The 14,622-nt window shown below is 47.4% G+C and overlaps 1 protein-coding gene across 4 annotated transcripts in view, besides 3 other annotated features; it reads right to left on the minus strand.

Annotated features, from left to right (window-relative positions):
- The window catches only part of DPF3 (double PHD fingers 3), a 285,068-nt gene that overhangs the window by 254,739 nt on the left and 15,707 nt on the right, over positions 1-14,622 (minus strand). The window lies entirely within an intron of this gene.
- Positions 908-1,091: a silencer, noted in NCBI's record as "fragment chr14:73331388-73331571 (GRCh37/hg19 assembly coordinates)". NCBI's record gives its function as "represses an EF-1alpha promoter that drives an FKBP-Casp9 reporter gene in an ReSE screen in phorbol 12-myristate 13-acetate-treated (for megakaryocytic differentiation) K562 erythroleukemia cells {active_cell/tissue: K562(+PMA)}" and the evidence as "EXISTENCE:reporter gene assay evidence [ECO:0000049][PMID:32094911]".
- Positions 11,919-12,620: an enhancer, noted in NCBI's record as "H3K4me1 hESC enhancer chr14:73342399-73343100 (GRCh37/hg19 assembly coordinates)". NCBI's record gives its function as "activates a minimal SCP1, AML or CMV promoter by ChIP-STARR-seq in naive H9 embryonic stem cells {active_cell/tissue: H9 hESC(naive)}" and the evidence as "EXISTENCE:reporter gene assay evidence [ECO:0000049][PMID:30033119]".
- Positions 12,621-13,321: an enhancer, noted in NCBI's record as "OCT4-NANOG-H3K4me1 hESC enhancer chr14:73343101-73343801 (GRCh37/hg19 assembly coordinates)". NCBI's record gives its function as "activates a minimal SCP1, AML or CMV promoter by ChIP-STARR-seq in naive H9 embryonic stem cells {active_cell/tissue: H9 hESC(naive)}" and the evidence as "EXISTENCE:reporter gene assay evidence [ECO:0000049][PMID:30033119]".

Genomic DNA, 14,622 nt, shown 5'->3' on the forward strand with positions numbered 1-14,622 from the left:
GACACAGCCCACCAGAAGTCACTATGCCACTGTGCAAATGTTCTGCTGGCAGGAATTAAGCACTAGGGGCAGCTGTTCTGCCTAGAAAGAAGTCTCGGGCCTTGAAGTGTGCATAGACACTGGAAGAGCTCATCAAGTAGAGACCTGGGGGTCGGGGAAGAAGTCCTGGCAGAGAAGGTCACAGAAGCAAAGGCCTGGAGGTGGGAAGCCCATGGTGGGATGTGATTCAAGCTCAGAGTCTGCCAAAAGGTGGTGGAATGGGAGGCTGAAATGTGAATGTTGGTCTAGGGAGTCTGGCATCCTCCTCTGGTAAGTGCGCCCTGGTCCCTCCAGAGAGAATTGATCCCTCCCCTCCTTTGCATCCCACCCACCCCCATACACACTCCCCAGGGCTCACACCCAGCTCAGGGCCTGGGCACAGGGCATCACCTGCTCCCTCTTCATGGACTGCTTCTCCTCCCGACAAATGCCTCTCCCTCCCATCCAGCAGGTCTCTGCTCAATCACCACCTTCTCAGTGAAGCCACCTCTCGCACCCCCTACAAGGGGACAAACCCACACATACGTGTCCCTACTTTGCTTTATTTTCTGCCACAGCATTTACACTTGTGTTTTTGGTCAGTGTCGGCCTCCTCCACTGGACTGCGGGCTCCATGAAGGCAGGGACTTTGTTTTATCGACTGCCATATCCCCAGCACCTACAGTGCTTGGCACTTAGTGAGAGCTCAATAAATATTTGACAAATTAATAAAAAATGCCTGTAACACTTGAGTGACTTGGGTTGTTTATTTCTTCCCCTCCTACAAGATTGAAAATGGATATGAAAGCAAAGCTTGAGCTTTCAGCTCTCTACCCCGGCCCTGTGCATGGTGCTGCCCAGGTTGGCACTCAGTAATTAGCGGATGGATGGATGGATGGATGGATGGATGGATGGATGGATGGATTCTATAATCAGTAGGAGCCATCAAAAGTATAAAGAAACTGAACTGTGCAATGCCTTTCCTGTGGGGAAAAGTGGCCTGATGGGGTAGAAGCACTGCAGGCTGGGAGGTCAACGAGGAAGCTCCTGCCAGTGTCCCCACAAGCCACAATGTGGCCTGAATGGGAGGTGAACAGAGTAGGGGACAGAGTCCAGAGACATACCCAAGGTTAAGCCAATATGACTCGGGACCAAGTGTAAGTCAGGACGAGGGGAGGGAGGAGCCAAAGATGATGCTCAGATTTTTGCTTAGATGACAGTGAACTCCAAGGGGAATAAGCAGCTTTAAGGGAAGAAGTTCAATTCATTCAGGATGGAAGTGTGAGGGAGGACATCCAGGCAGTAGAATGGTCAGGAGGAGAGAGGGAGATTGAGTCACGGGTGCTGGCTGGAGTCATGGGAATCCACTCATTCATTTATCTTTTTGAGCCCATGCCAGGTCCCAGGCATTTACTCTGCTAGAGACTATGGACGCTGCAGTGCCCAAGACAGGCAAGGTCTGTGCTCTCATGGAACTTACTTTCGGAGAGGAAAGGCAGACAAAGGAAAAGTGAGCAAACAGATCCATAGAGATAATTTCTGATATTGTATGCACTGTGAAGAAAATAAAACCAGGCCATGGGAGCATGATGCGGGGACAATATTAGATAGGTTGGGCCAGGAAGGGCCTTCTGAAGAAGTGGCTTTTGCCACAATGAGGTAGAGAATGGGGATGACGACGAAGTTCCTGCTTCTTGGCTTCAATTTTCTTGAACAAATCTGGGGTGAAATCATCGGCTGAGAGCAGAGAGATGGAAAGGGTTTTCAGGTAAATGGAAAAACATTGGACTATTCTCTGCCATAGGAAGAAATGGAAAGGGTGAGAAGAGATTATGATGGTGCACCGAGGACCTCACTGACGGCTGAAACCACAGGGGGGTAAGGAGCCCATCAATGCAGGGCGTGTGCAAGTTTCACAGGTCTCATATATCGATGAAGCTTTATGTCCTTGCCACTGAATTGACATCAGCACTAGGCCGGGTGCATCGGCTCATGCCTGTAATCCCAGCCCTTTGGGAGGCAGAGGCAGGCAGATCACTTGAGGTCAGGAGTTTGAGACCAGCCTGGCCAACATGATGAAACCCCGTCTCTACTAAAAACACAAAAATTAGCTGGGTGTGGTGATGTGCACCTGTAATCCCAGCTACTTGGGAGGCTGAGGCAGGAGAATCACTTGAACCCAGAAGGCGGAGGATGCAGTGAGCCAAGATCACTCCATTGCACTCCAGCCTAGGTGACAGAGCAAGACTCAGTCTCAGAAAAAAAATAAAAAAGAAAGCAGCACTAATGCCCTGGCAGCAATGTGGAAGCTCTGTCTCCACTTTGTATGAGATGGGCTTGCCGGCTTGTTGATTTGATGGTAATTTAGTTTGATGGGCTATGAGGGTTTTCATTACTTGGTTTTACCAGGCACATTCCCACCACCACCTCTTCCACAGACTGAGGTCACCTCAGTCTGTTCCTGCCACAGCCTCCACGCACAAGCCATCCTGCAAATTAATCACCCTCAACATTCATCGTGCCAAACCTTAAGTAACTCCCCAGCACCTGCAGGATCAGTGCCAAACTTTTCGCCCAAGTATTTATAATCAGGTCCTTCGTGACCTGTCCAGCTTCTCTCTCCCAGTGACCTGGCTGGTGTTCTCACTGCTCCTTTCTGAACCCAAGCTTATTCGAATGCACAGGCTCAGGTACCCGCCTCTGCTCCATCGATACCAGCCATGGAGTCTTGGGCAAATCTTGGGCAACTCCTTGGAGTTTTCTCATCGATAAAAAAGTTAATATGGCTGGGTGTGGTGGCTCACGCCTATAATCCCAGCACTTTGGGAGGCCGAGGAGGGCGGATCACCTGAGGTTGGGAGTTTGAAACCAGCCTGACCAACACGAAGAAACCCCATCTCTACTAAAAATACAAAATTAGCTGGGCATGGTGGCACATGCCTGTAATCCCAGCTACTCGGGAGGCTGAGACAGGAGAATCGCTTGAACCCAGGAGGTGGATGTTGCAGTGAGCGAAGTTTGCACCATTGCACTCCAGCCTGGGCAACAAGAGCGAAACTCCATCCGACTCGTGATCCACCCGACTCGGCCTCCCAAAGTGCTGGGATTATAGGAGTGAGCCATCATGCCTAGCCCACTGGTACTCATTTTCTAAGGGTATTCTTTTCTAACCAGACCACGAAATCTCCAGGCTACCTCAAGGGTCTTACAAGGAGGAAGCAAAGGCCTAGGTGCCCAAATACTGGTATTTCAACAGGACGGCTTTTATTTTTAATAAAATAATTTTTATAGAGATGGGGTCTCACTGTGTTGTCCGGGTTGTTCTCAAACTCCCGGGCTCCAACAATCCTCCCACCTCAGTCTCCCAAAGTGCTGGGATTACAGGTGTAACAGCTTTTTATAGGAGTTCTGCCTCCTACAGCTTCATACTGGAAAATACGAGCAAAAAATGTTGAGCACATCTATGATGAGTAAGGGAGATGAGTTGCACTGTATGGAGAACCTGATCCCAGGCCTGGCCCCACCTTTTTTTAACTGTGAGGCCTGAGGACTATCCCAGGCCATCCAGGCCTCTGGTGTCACGTCTAGATAGTGAGGAAGAACCCCCTTCCATGGTCTCTAAGGTGGTTCCTAGATCTATTATTCCAAGCACTAGCTCTCCTATGAGCTGTACTGTTGAGGGGCAGAGGGGTCAAAAGAACCTTCTCCCTCTCTGGCCGATAGATGGTTGGGGTACTCTGAAAGCTTCTCTGTTCCCTCTGCCCATTCTCCTCTAAGGTGTTTCATTCAATAGACATAAAAACAAGAGCATCACACTGCAAAGTCTGAACAATTGAAGAGATGCCCCGCCCTCCATGACTATCAAAGTTGGGGGATGGATACTTGGGGGTTCTTTATACTATTCTTTCTACTGTTGTATAAGCTTGATATCTTCCACAATAAGTTTGTTTTTTGTTTTTTGTTTTATTGGGAGATTCTCACTCTGTTACCCAGGCTGGAGTGCAGTGGCACAATCTCGGCTCACTGCAACCTCTACCTCCCAGGCTCAAGGGATCCTCCCACCTCGGCCTCCTGTGTAGCTGGGACCACAGGTGTGTGTCACCATGCCTGGCTATTTTTTTGTATTTTTTTCTGGAGACGGCATTTCACCATGTTGCCCAGGCTGATCTTGAACTCCTGGACTCAAGCAATGTGGCTGCCTCGGCCTCCCAAAGTGCTGGATTACTGAGCCACCACACCCAGCCAGAAGAAGTGAGAATAACAGCAATAAACTCACCTGATTCCACCCTTTCATGTACTAACTAGATATGGATCTTTTGAGCCCTCAAAAAGGTACTGATCTTTTTTTAAAGGAACTACATCTGAACATCGTAAGATTCAATGCCTTTTTAACCTTGCACATTGGAGAAAGAGGTATGAAGGAAGAAGGGCAAAGGGTACCTGGGAGTCAGACATCTCTCTCCTCCCACCAACTCCATCACTTTGTAATGGTCTCTACTAGGATGCCCAAGTTCCCAGAGCCCTAGTCTCCTCAATTGCATTTTTGAGGGGCCTAAAGGAGACCACCTTGCCTCAAAAGCACTTGTTCCGGTTATAACCACTCCCACACACATTTAAAGCATCCCTTTGTTGTTGCATATGCAGGGCTGGGAGGAACAATGGTGCTGAAACTTTCCAGGACATGAAAATCCGATTGCATGGCCTCACCCCTAGGGATTTTGATTCAGTGGCTCCAGCGGAGGAGGCCCAGGAATCTACCTTTCCATCAGTCACACAGGTGCCCCTCCTGTAGGTAGTCCTCAGAGGACACCTTGAGAAAACCAAAGGAAAAGCAGAGGGAGGCAAACTGCTCAGTGCTACCTGGGAGGAAAACAATCTACCTATAGCATGGAAAACCTCCAAGGAGCAGGCAGGGAGTGTCCATCAGAATGACAGGAAGGAGCGAGGCAGTTAAAGGGAAAGCACCATCATCAAAGCCTTCTCCAGCTAATACCTTGTCCTTCCTGCATATGCTCCTATCTCATTTTTATTTTCTAAATTTTACCCAGACAAGCTTCCCCAAAACCCACTCATCCTGACCTTCCCGGGCTCCATCACTAAATCTCCCCATGGCCAGGGGAACTTTTAGAAAGTGTACTGGATCAAGTCCCTTTCCTAACTTCAATCCTTCCATGGCTGCTTACTGCCCTTAGGATAAAGTACACAGCCCTCAAACTTCTCCATCAAGGCCCTTCATGACCAGGCCTCTCCTGACCTCTCTTACCATCTCATCCCTCTCCAGTGCTGCAGCCACAGTGGCCTTCCATGGGTCCCCCAACATGCACAGGACCTTGGCACATGCTATTCCCTCTGCTGGGATCAAATGTTTCCTCTTCAAGGAAATTTTCCCTCAATGCCCTAGACCAGAAAAGGTCCCCCTACTATACTCTTCTATCTTCCTGGACTTTCCAACTTAACACTGATCCCACATTTACTTACATATTTGTGTGATTATATGATTAACATCTGTCTTCCCAAGTGGACCATAAGCTTCATAAAGATAGGGTCTGTGTTGGTTTGGCTCACCATCATGTACCCAGGGTCACAGTAGCTAGTACATTGTATGTGTTCAATAATACAACATAAATGCCCAGTGCACTGTGGTCTGGGGAGACATGGATGAAGAAAAAAAGTGAGACGCATGCTTGAAAAATTCATAATGCAAATGACAGGCCAGTGTGAGACGGTGTGCTTCTCCTGGTCATGGCCACTGAAAATCTTCTCGACTGTCACACGGATGGCGTCACTGGATGCCACAAGATCTCAGGCTCTTCCCAGTAAGAGCATCTCTCTGGGACTGTCCCCAGAGGACAATGAGAAGGTGGCTTACCTCCTGGGGAATGTGGGGACGGAAAAAGAGGGCTGGGAGAGAGAGAGTGCCAACCTCCTCAATCCCCTTCTTGTTATCTCCTGAAAATGTAGCTTAGTCCCTCACTATCAGGACTCAGAGAGAGAGGTGGGGAAGAGAAGGTCACAGACAGAAACGATCTTCCTCCCTCCTATCTGGAGCCACAGAAACAGGCATACCCATGTTATCTTTGAGCTTGCTTTTTTTTCCCTAGAGATGATGGGGGGTAGGGTGAGCAGGAAGATTCAGAGCAGTCAGTTCAGAAAACAGGGTGTTTTTCTGCTTGGTTATCAGACCCATGCCCATTCAAGGGATGCAAAATAGGCTGAAGTTTAGATTCTCTGACTCGGCTATTGAGTCCCATCAATTACAACACATGGAAAAAACTTTGGACAGTTAAAAATAACATAGGGGCCTGGTGTTTGGAAGATCTGGAGTTTGGAATGCCAGCTTGTCAAGCACAGATCCCTGCCTACCAAAAAGCATGTGCTGGGAACTCACATACACACCAACCAGCACAAGAAGGTCACAGATGAGCAAGGTGCCTGTTACCTACCACCCTGACAACAGTGTGTCAGGCCAACTTGGAGGACAAACTCTCAGTCCTCAGCCACTTTGGTCTAAAGGACTTCCAAGCCCTCTTCTAGCTGTGGAAAGGGCAGAGCTCATCCAGGAAAGAAGTAGTCTCCTTCCCCTTAGAGGAGGTAGCCATGAATGGAATTGTGGGCTGAGTCCAGTCACCTTACAGAGACACTTCACCTCTGTGTGCTGTGTTTCTACATCTGTGAACTTCTTGTTCTTTCTCAGAAGGACCCAATATCAGCACCAATTAAATAGTATGCAATAAGCTGTGCTCCTGGACAAAGCATGCCATAGATAAATCTTTCTTGAAGACTCTTTAACACATTTGTTCTATGAGTAAAACAATAAATTGATAAAAATAATAATGCCATAGATTTCTAGAACTTCTTTCTTCTAGGAAAACCAGTGCTTCTCCTACTTATCATTTCATTTTTTTAAAGATGCCAGTGTAAGGAAAATATTGGCTAGTGTGTCTCCTCATTTTACAGATGGAAAAACAGGGTCACTGCAAACACCCATTAAAAGGGTAACGAGGCTGGGCACAGTGGCTCATGCCTATAATCCCAGCACTTTGGGAGGCTGAGGCAGGTGGATGGCTTGAGGCCAGGAGTCCAGGACCAGCCTGGGCAACATGGCAAAACCCTGTCTCTATTTGTATTAGTCCACTTTCATGCTGCTGATAAAGACATACCCAAGACTGGGAAGAAAAAGAGGTTTAATTGGACTTAAAGTCCTCAGAATCATGGCAGGAGGTGAAAGGCACTTCTTACATGGTGGCAGCAAGAGAAAATGAGGAAGAAGCAGAAGCAGAAACCCCAGATAAACCCGTCAGATCTTGTAAGACTTACTCACTATCACGAGAATAGCCCAGGAAAGACCAGCCCCCATGATTCGATTACCTCCCTCTGGGTACCTCCCACAACATGTGGGAATTCTGGGAGATACAATTCAAGTTGAGATTTACGTGGGGACACAGCCAAACCATATCATTCTGCCCTTGGCCCTTCCAAATATCATGTCCTCACATTTCAAAACCAATCATGCCTTCCCAAAAGTCCCCCAAAGTCTTAATTCATTTCAGCATTAACCCAAAAGTCCACAGTCCAAAGTCTCATCTGAGACAAGGCAAGTCCCTTCTGCCTATATTCTATAAAGTCAAAAGCAAGCTAGTTACTTCCTAGGTATGCAATTCCAAGTGGGAGAAATTGGCCACAACAAAGGGTTTACAGCGCCCAGGTAGGTCTGAAATCCAGCAAGGCAGTCAAACATTAAAGCTTCAAAATAATCTCCTTTGACTCCAGGTCTCACATCCAGGTCACGCTGATGCAAGAGCTGGGTCCCCATGGTCTTGGGCAGCTCCGCCCCTGCAAACACCCATTAAAATGGTAATGAGGCTGGGCACAGTGGCTCATGCCTGTAATCCCAGCACTTTGGGAGGGTGAGGCAGGCCCTACCTCCACTTTGCAGGGTACAGCCTCCCTCCTGCGTACTTTCACAGTCTGGCATTGAGTCTCTGCAGCTTTTCCAGGCACATGGTGCAAGCTGCTAGTGGATCTACCATTCTGGAATCTGGAGGATGGTGGCCCTCTTCTCACAGCTCCACTAGGCAGTGCCCCAGTAGGGACTCTGTATGGAGGCTCCAACCCCACATTTCCCTTCTGCACTGCCCTAGCAGAGGTTCTCCCTGAGGGCCCCGCCCCTGCAGCAAACTTTTGCCAGGGCATCCAGGCGTTTCCATACATCTTCTGAAATCTAGAAGGAAATCCCAAACCTCAGTTCTAGATACCTGTGCACCCTCAGGCTCAACACCACATAGAAGCTGCCAACGCTTGGGGCTTCCACCCTCTGAAGTCACAGCCCGAGCTATATGTTGGCCCCTTTCAGCCACAGATGGCCCCTGGAGCATCTGGGACACAGGGCACCAAGTCCCTAGGCTGCACACAGCATGGAGACCCTGGGCACCCACGAAACTTCTTTTACCTCCTGGGCCTCCAGGCCTGTGATGGGAGGGGCTGCCGTGAAGGTCTCTGACATGGCCTGGAGACATTTTCCCCAGGGTCTTGAGGATTAACATTAGGATACTTGCTACTTATGCAAATTTCTGCAGCCGACTTGAATTTCTCCCCAGAAAATAGGTTTTTCTTTTCTATCACCTAGTCAGGCTGCAAATTTTCCAAACTTTTATGCTCTGCTTCCCTTATAAAACTGAATGCCTTTAACAGCACCCAAGTCACATCTTGAATGCTTTGCTGCTTAGAAATTTCTTCCACCAAGCTACCAATGACTTTCTTCACGGAATTGGAAAAAACTACTTTAAAGTTCATATGGAACCAAAAAAGAGCCCGCATTGCCAAGGCAATCCTAAGCCAAAAGAACAAAGCTGGAGGCATCATGCTACCTGACTTCAAACTATACTACAAGGCTACAGTAACCAAAACAGCATGGTACTGGTACCAAAACAGAGATATAGACCAATGGAACAGAACAGAGGCCTCAGAAATAATGCCGCATATCTACAACTATCTGATCTTTGACAAACCTGACAAAAACAAGCAATGGGGAAAGGATTCCCTATTTAATAAATGGTGCTGGGAAAACTGGCTAGCCATATGGAGAAAAATGAAACTGGAGCCCTTCCTTACACCTTATACTAAAATTAATTCAAGATGGATTAAAGATTTAAATGTTAGACCTAAAACCATAAAAACCCTAGAAGAAAACCTAGGCAATACCATTCAGGACATAGGCATAGGCAAGGACTTCATGTCTAAAACACCAAAAGCAATGGCAACAAAAGCCAAAATTGACAAATGGGATCTAAATAAACTAAAGAGCTTCTGCACAGCAAAAGAAACTACCATCAGAGTGAACAGGCAACCTACAGAATGGGAGAAAATTTTTGCAATCTACTCATCTGACAAAGGGCTAATATCCAGAATCTACAATGAACTCAAACAAATTTACAAGAAAAAAACAAACAACCCCATCAACAAGTGGGCGAAGGATATAAACAGACACTTCTCAAAAGAAGATATTTATGCAGCCAAAAGACACATGAAACAATGCTCATCATCACTGGCCATCAGAGAAATGCAAATCAAAACCACAATGAGATACCATCTCACACCAGTTAGAAAGGTGATCATTAAAAAGTCAGGAAACAACAGGTGCTGGAGAGGATGTGGAGAAATAGGAACATTTTCTCACTGTTGGTGGGACTGTAAACTAGTTCAACCATTGTGGAAGTCAGTGTGGCGATTCCTCAGGGATCTAGAACTAGAAATACCATTTGACCCAGCCATCCCATTACTGGGTATATACCCAAAGGGTTATAAATCATGCTGCTATAAAGACACACGCACATGTATGTTTATTGCGGCACTATTCACAATAGCAAAGACTTGGAACCAACCCAAATGTCCAACAATGATAGACTGGATTAAGAAAATGTGGCACATATACACCATGGAATACTATGTAGCCATTAAAAATGATGAGTTCATGTCCCTTGTAGGGACATGGATGAAGCTGGAAACCATCATTCTCAGCAAACTATCACAAGGACAAAAAACCAAACACCACATGTTCTCACTCATAGGTGGGAACTGAACAATGAGAACACATGGACACAGGACGGGGAACATCACACACCGGGGCCTGTTGTGGGGTGGGGGGAAGGGGAGGGATAGCATTAGGAGATATACCTAATGTTAAATGACGAGTTAATGGGTGCAGCACACCAACATGGCACATGTATATATATGTAACAAACCTGCATGTTGTGCACATGTACCCTAAAACTTAAAGTATGATAAAAAAAAAAAGAATCTAGAAAAAGAAGTACAAATTCAACCTAAAACAAGCAGGAGATAGGAAGCATTATAAAGATTAAAGCAGAAATCAATAAGAAAAAAAAAAAAAGAAATTTCTTCCACCAAGCCAGGTGGAGTGGCTCACACCTATAATCCCAGCACTTTGGGAGGCCAAGATGGGCAGATCACGGGGTCAGGAGTTCAAGACCAGCCTGGCCAACATAGTGAAACCCCGTCTCTATTAAAAATACAAAAAAATTAGCCAGGCATGGTGATGCACACCTATAGTCCCAGCTACTCGAAAGGCTAAGGCAGGAGAATCACTTGAACCCAGGAGGCAGAGGTTGTGGTGAGCCAAGATCCTGACACTGCACTCCAGCCTAGGCAACAGAGCAAGACTCCGTCTCCAAAAAAAAAAAAGAAAAAGAAAGAAATTTATTCCACCAGATAACCTAAATCATCTCTCTCAAGTTCAAAGTTTCACGAATCTCTAGGGGAGTCTCTAGGGGAGGGGGCAAAATGCCGCCAGTCTCTTCGCTAAAACATAACAAGAGTCACCTTTGCTCCAGTTCTCTACAAGTTCCTCATCTCCATCTGAGACAACCTCAGCCTGGATTTTATTATCCATATCGCTATTAGCATTTGGGCAAAGCCATTCAACAAGTCTCTAGGAAGTTCCAAACTTTCCCACATTTTCCCGTCTGCTTCTGAGCCTTTCAAACTGTTCCAATCTCTGCCTGTTGCCCAGTTCCAAAGTCACTTCCACATTTTCGGGTATCTTTTCAGCAATGCCCCACTCTATTGGTACCAATTACTGTATTAGTCCATTTTCACACAGCTGATAAAGACATACCTGAGACTGGGAAGAAAAAGAGTTTTAATTGGACTTACAGTTCCACGTGGCTGGGGAGGCCTCGGAATCATGGCAGGAAGTGAAAGACACTTCTTATATGGCAGCAGCAAGAGAAAATGAGGAAGAAGCAAAAGCTGAAACCCCTGATAAACCCACCAGATCTTGTGAGACTTATTCACTATCACAAAAATAGCATGGGAAAGACTGGCCTCCATGATTCAATTACCTCCCCATGGGTCTCTCCCACAACACATGGGAATTCTGGGAGATCAATGCAAGTTGAGATTTGGGTGAGGACACAGCCAAACCATATCACTACTAAAAATACAAAAATTAACTGGGTGTGGTGGTGCACACCTGTGGTCCCAGCCACTTGGGAAGCTGGGGTGGGAGGATTGCTTGAGCCTGGGAGGTCGAGGCTGCAGTGAGCCATGATTGCGCCACTGCATTCCAGCCTGGGCAACAGGGCAAGACCCTGTCTCAAAAAAAGGATATTGTGTGCCGACTCTACTAAGCACTTTACATACATTAACTTGCTTAATTCTTCCAACAACCCCATAAAGACAAAAACTATTAGTCCTACTTTACATATGAGGAAACTAAGGCATAGATGTTAGGAATCCTACCCAAGGCCATAGGGCTTGAACTTGAACCCAAACTCTCTGGCTCCAGAGGCTGCACCCAAGCCGTGGGTCACACAGCAACTGCTCCCAGCCTCCTGCTCCCCACCATGGAGTGTCTGAGCTTACAAAGTGTGCAAAGCTTACAAAGTATGCAAGGAACGAACCCTAAGGACTTGTGTAACCCCCAGCCTCCCCGTGAAAACTAGGCCCAGGGCATTTCTGGAAGGAAGTGGCCAGCACACAGGTAGACAGCTGCAGCAGTGGCAGGGGTGTCTGGGTGGGAACCAGGCAGCACTACCATCAGAATAAACCACCCCGATCCCCCTAGGAGGAAACCCACTGTCTTAGAGACCTGCAGCCTCACTCTCCCCTATTTGAATCATGAAACTAATCCTCAGGGCACCATGCTTTAAGCTACACAGGTTGGCATTTACATTTTCCTCCTTGGATTGGATTTATATATTTTATTTACATCATTTATTGGTTGTTGTTGAAGAAGAAGAAGAAGAGGAGGAGGAGGAAGAGAAGGAGGAGAAGGAGGATTAAAGTACAGAAAGGGAAGAAGTCATTTGGGTCCACTGCTCAGGTGGGCTCTGCCCACAAGTCTGCCCAGCGTTGCAAATCGGCCCTTGCAGCTGGACAGAGCTGGCCTGTAGCTGACAGGATTGATGGCTCACACCAGTGTGGGCCCCACAGGGTGTCTCCCTCACCCCACCCCTCTGGGTGGTCCCCTGGAAAGTATCCAAAATGCATAACAAATGAAACCAAGGACGGGGTCCAGTTCAACCCCTTAGTGAGAGGGAAGACTGGAGACAGACAATCCCCCTTGCTGGAGGACACAGGATGACCACCCCACCCTCCCCCTGGAGCCTCTCTTTTGGACGATGAGGAGTATGAGTCTCCCCAAACAGTGACTGCCAAACCGGGACTCTGCTCAGACCAACCTGGCCCAGGCTTATTTCTCATTTTTCCCTTCTGTTCACGGACACCCCCCACCTACTCCCAACCAGCCAAACAGATCTGTGTGCTCTCCTCCATGCAGTCCTTCCCATCTGGCCTTCCTTCCCTCAGAAAGGAAGGGTGTCCCCAAAGGAATCGCTCAAACGCCTCACGTCTTTGTTCACTTCCCTTTGGTGACTAAAGTTCCCCAGCCTCACCCTCCCGAGCCTAACCAGACCCCACTGTCCTTCTGAACTCAGCTCCTCTCTGAAGCATCCTCTGTCATCCCAGCCACAGGAACTGCTGTCTGTCTTCCAATTTCAAGGACCCCTGGTGGCCTAGGCTGATCGTTTAGCGCAGCTATTCACCACCTGGAACCTCACGTGAAGCAGCTTCTCTCAGGAATGCATGCTCTGCTGCCTGTAAGCTTTGTCCTTTTCCTCCTTCCCTCTCCCCACTCCCATATTCATGAGATTGAGTGGGCCCTCCTTGGGGACAAAGCCAGAATACTCTTTCCTTCCTTTGTGCCCCTTCAGTGCTTTTTGATCAAGGTGCAATTCATGGAGGAAAGGAGAAAGACGTAAATAGTGAATGAAGGAGGGGACAGGGATCAGAAGGAAACCTAGGCTGGAGGTGCAAACTCAGGGCTCTGAGGGCCTTGGGGCAGCTTAGCTCTTAGTCAAGAAATGAAATAAGCAGCAGAAAGCAAAAGAAAAAGGAAAGGCTTTCCAGCGGGCTTTTTCTTCCCAAGGATTTGAAAAGCTACAGTAGAGCCTGGAGGAGAGTGGGCTGTCCAGGGCTGCCGGCTCTGAGTTTTGGAGAGAGGTGGAGATGCTGTGGAGCTTTTATACTATCCAGACCAGTTCCTCTGGGCAGCAAAGGAGGCACACACCCAGGACAATGTTGGGCAATAAAGATTATTCCATCATTTGGGAGCAGGAGCGCCTTTTGTTCTGCATTTCTCAGGGAATCAACACATTCCAAGCAGGAAAGGGATGAGAACAAATGACCAGCAGGATGGGGACTGATAGTATTGGGTCCTCTTCATTCAGCAGATTATAAAATAATAAAACAAGCATCCTACTGCTGCAAGGATAGCAAGAGCTAGCAAGGTCTCAAAAAGGTTTCAGAATTCAGACTCACAAGCCAGGCAGCCTCCATCTCTCCTCTGACACTCGCTGGGATCTTCAGCCCCTGAGATGACAAACAATGTCCCCCTGGTGTGCTCTGGACTGAGGAACTATGAGAACTTCCTAAATCTCATAAAACTATAGATTAGCGTTCATCCCTGCTACCCTGTGCATAAGTGACCTAAAATTGAATGGTCCGAACCTGTTTCCCATCCCCCAGAGACATGTGTAATTAGATAAAATGAGGACAGAATATGTATAAGTATCTGTTATACTCAGATGGCTGCCCAGAAAGAAAATGAGTGCCAGGAACCGGACAGCCCTGTGTCACCCTCTGTCCTGAACTGGGATTGAGGGAGACTTACCTTTGTGAGTAGGTTGCTAGTGCAATATGACCTCTCTGAGTTAACGAATATTTTTCTACAATTCGGCTCCTGCAGCCCATATTTGGCACACCATCAGCATTTTCTCTGGCTTTCCATGTTGAAGGATGTCTTTCAGACCAGGATCTGAACTGAAACTTGACCCTGGGAGTCCGTGTCCACCTTGGGACTTCCTCTTCCTCCTTCAGGCCTCTTTCTGGTGGTACCCTCTTCCAAAAAGCCCCCAACACAGAATTATTTGGAGGACATACAAAAGTTATAATGATACGCTGGTATCTCTATCTCTCTCAATACAAGAGAGAAAGGCCCTCACTTGAGCCCTAGGCCATCCTTTTTGAAGGATGAATGAAGTGATCTGCTATACTTGGTTGGGACACAGAGTCGTAGGGAAAATC

The sequence above is a fragment of the Homo sapiens genome, chromosome 14 (genome assembly GCF_000001405.40).
Source record: "Homo sapiens chromosome 14, GRCh38.p14 Primary Assembly".
NCBI lineage: Eukaryota > Metazoa > Chordata > Mammalia > Primates > Hominidae > Homo > Homo sapiens.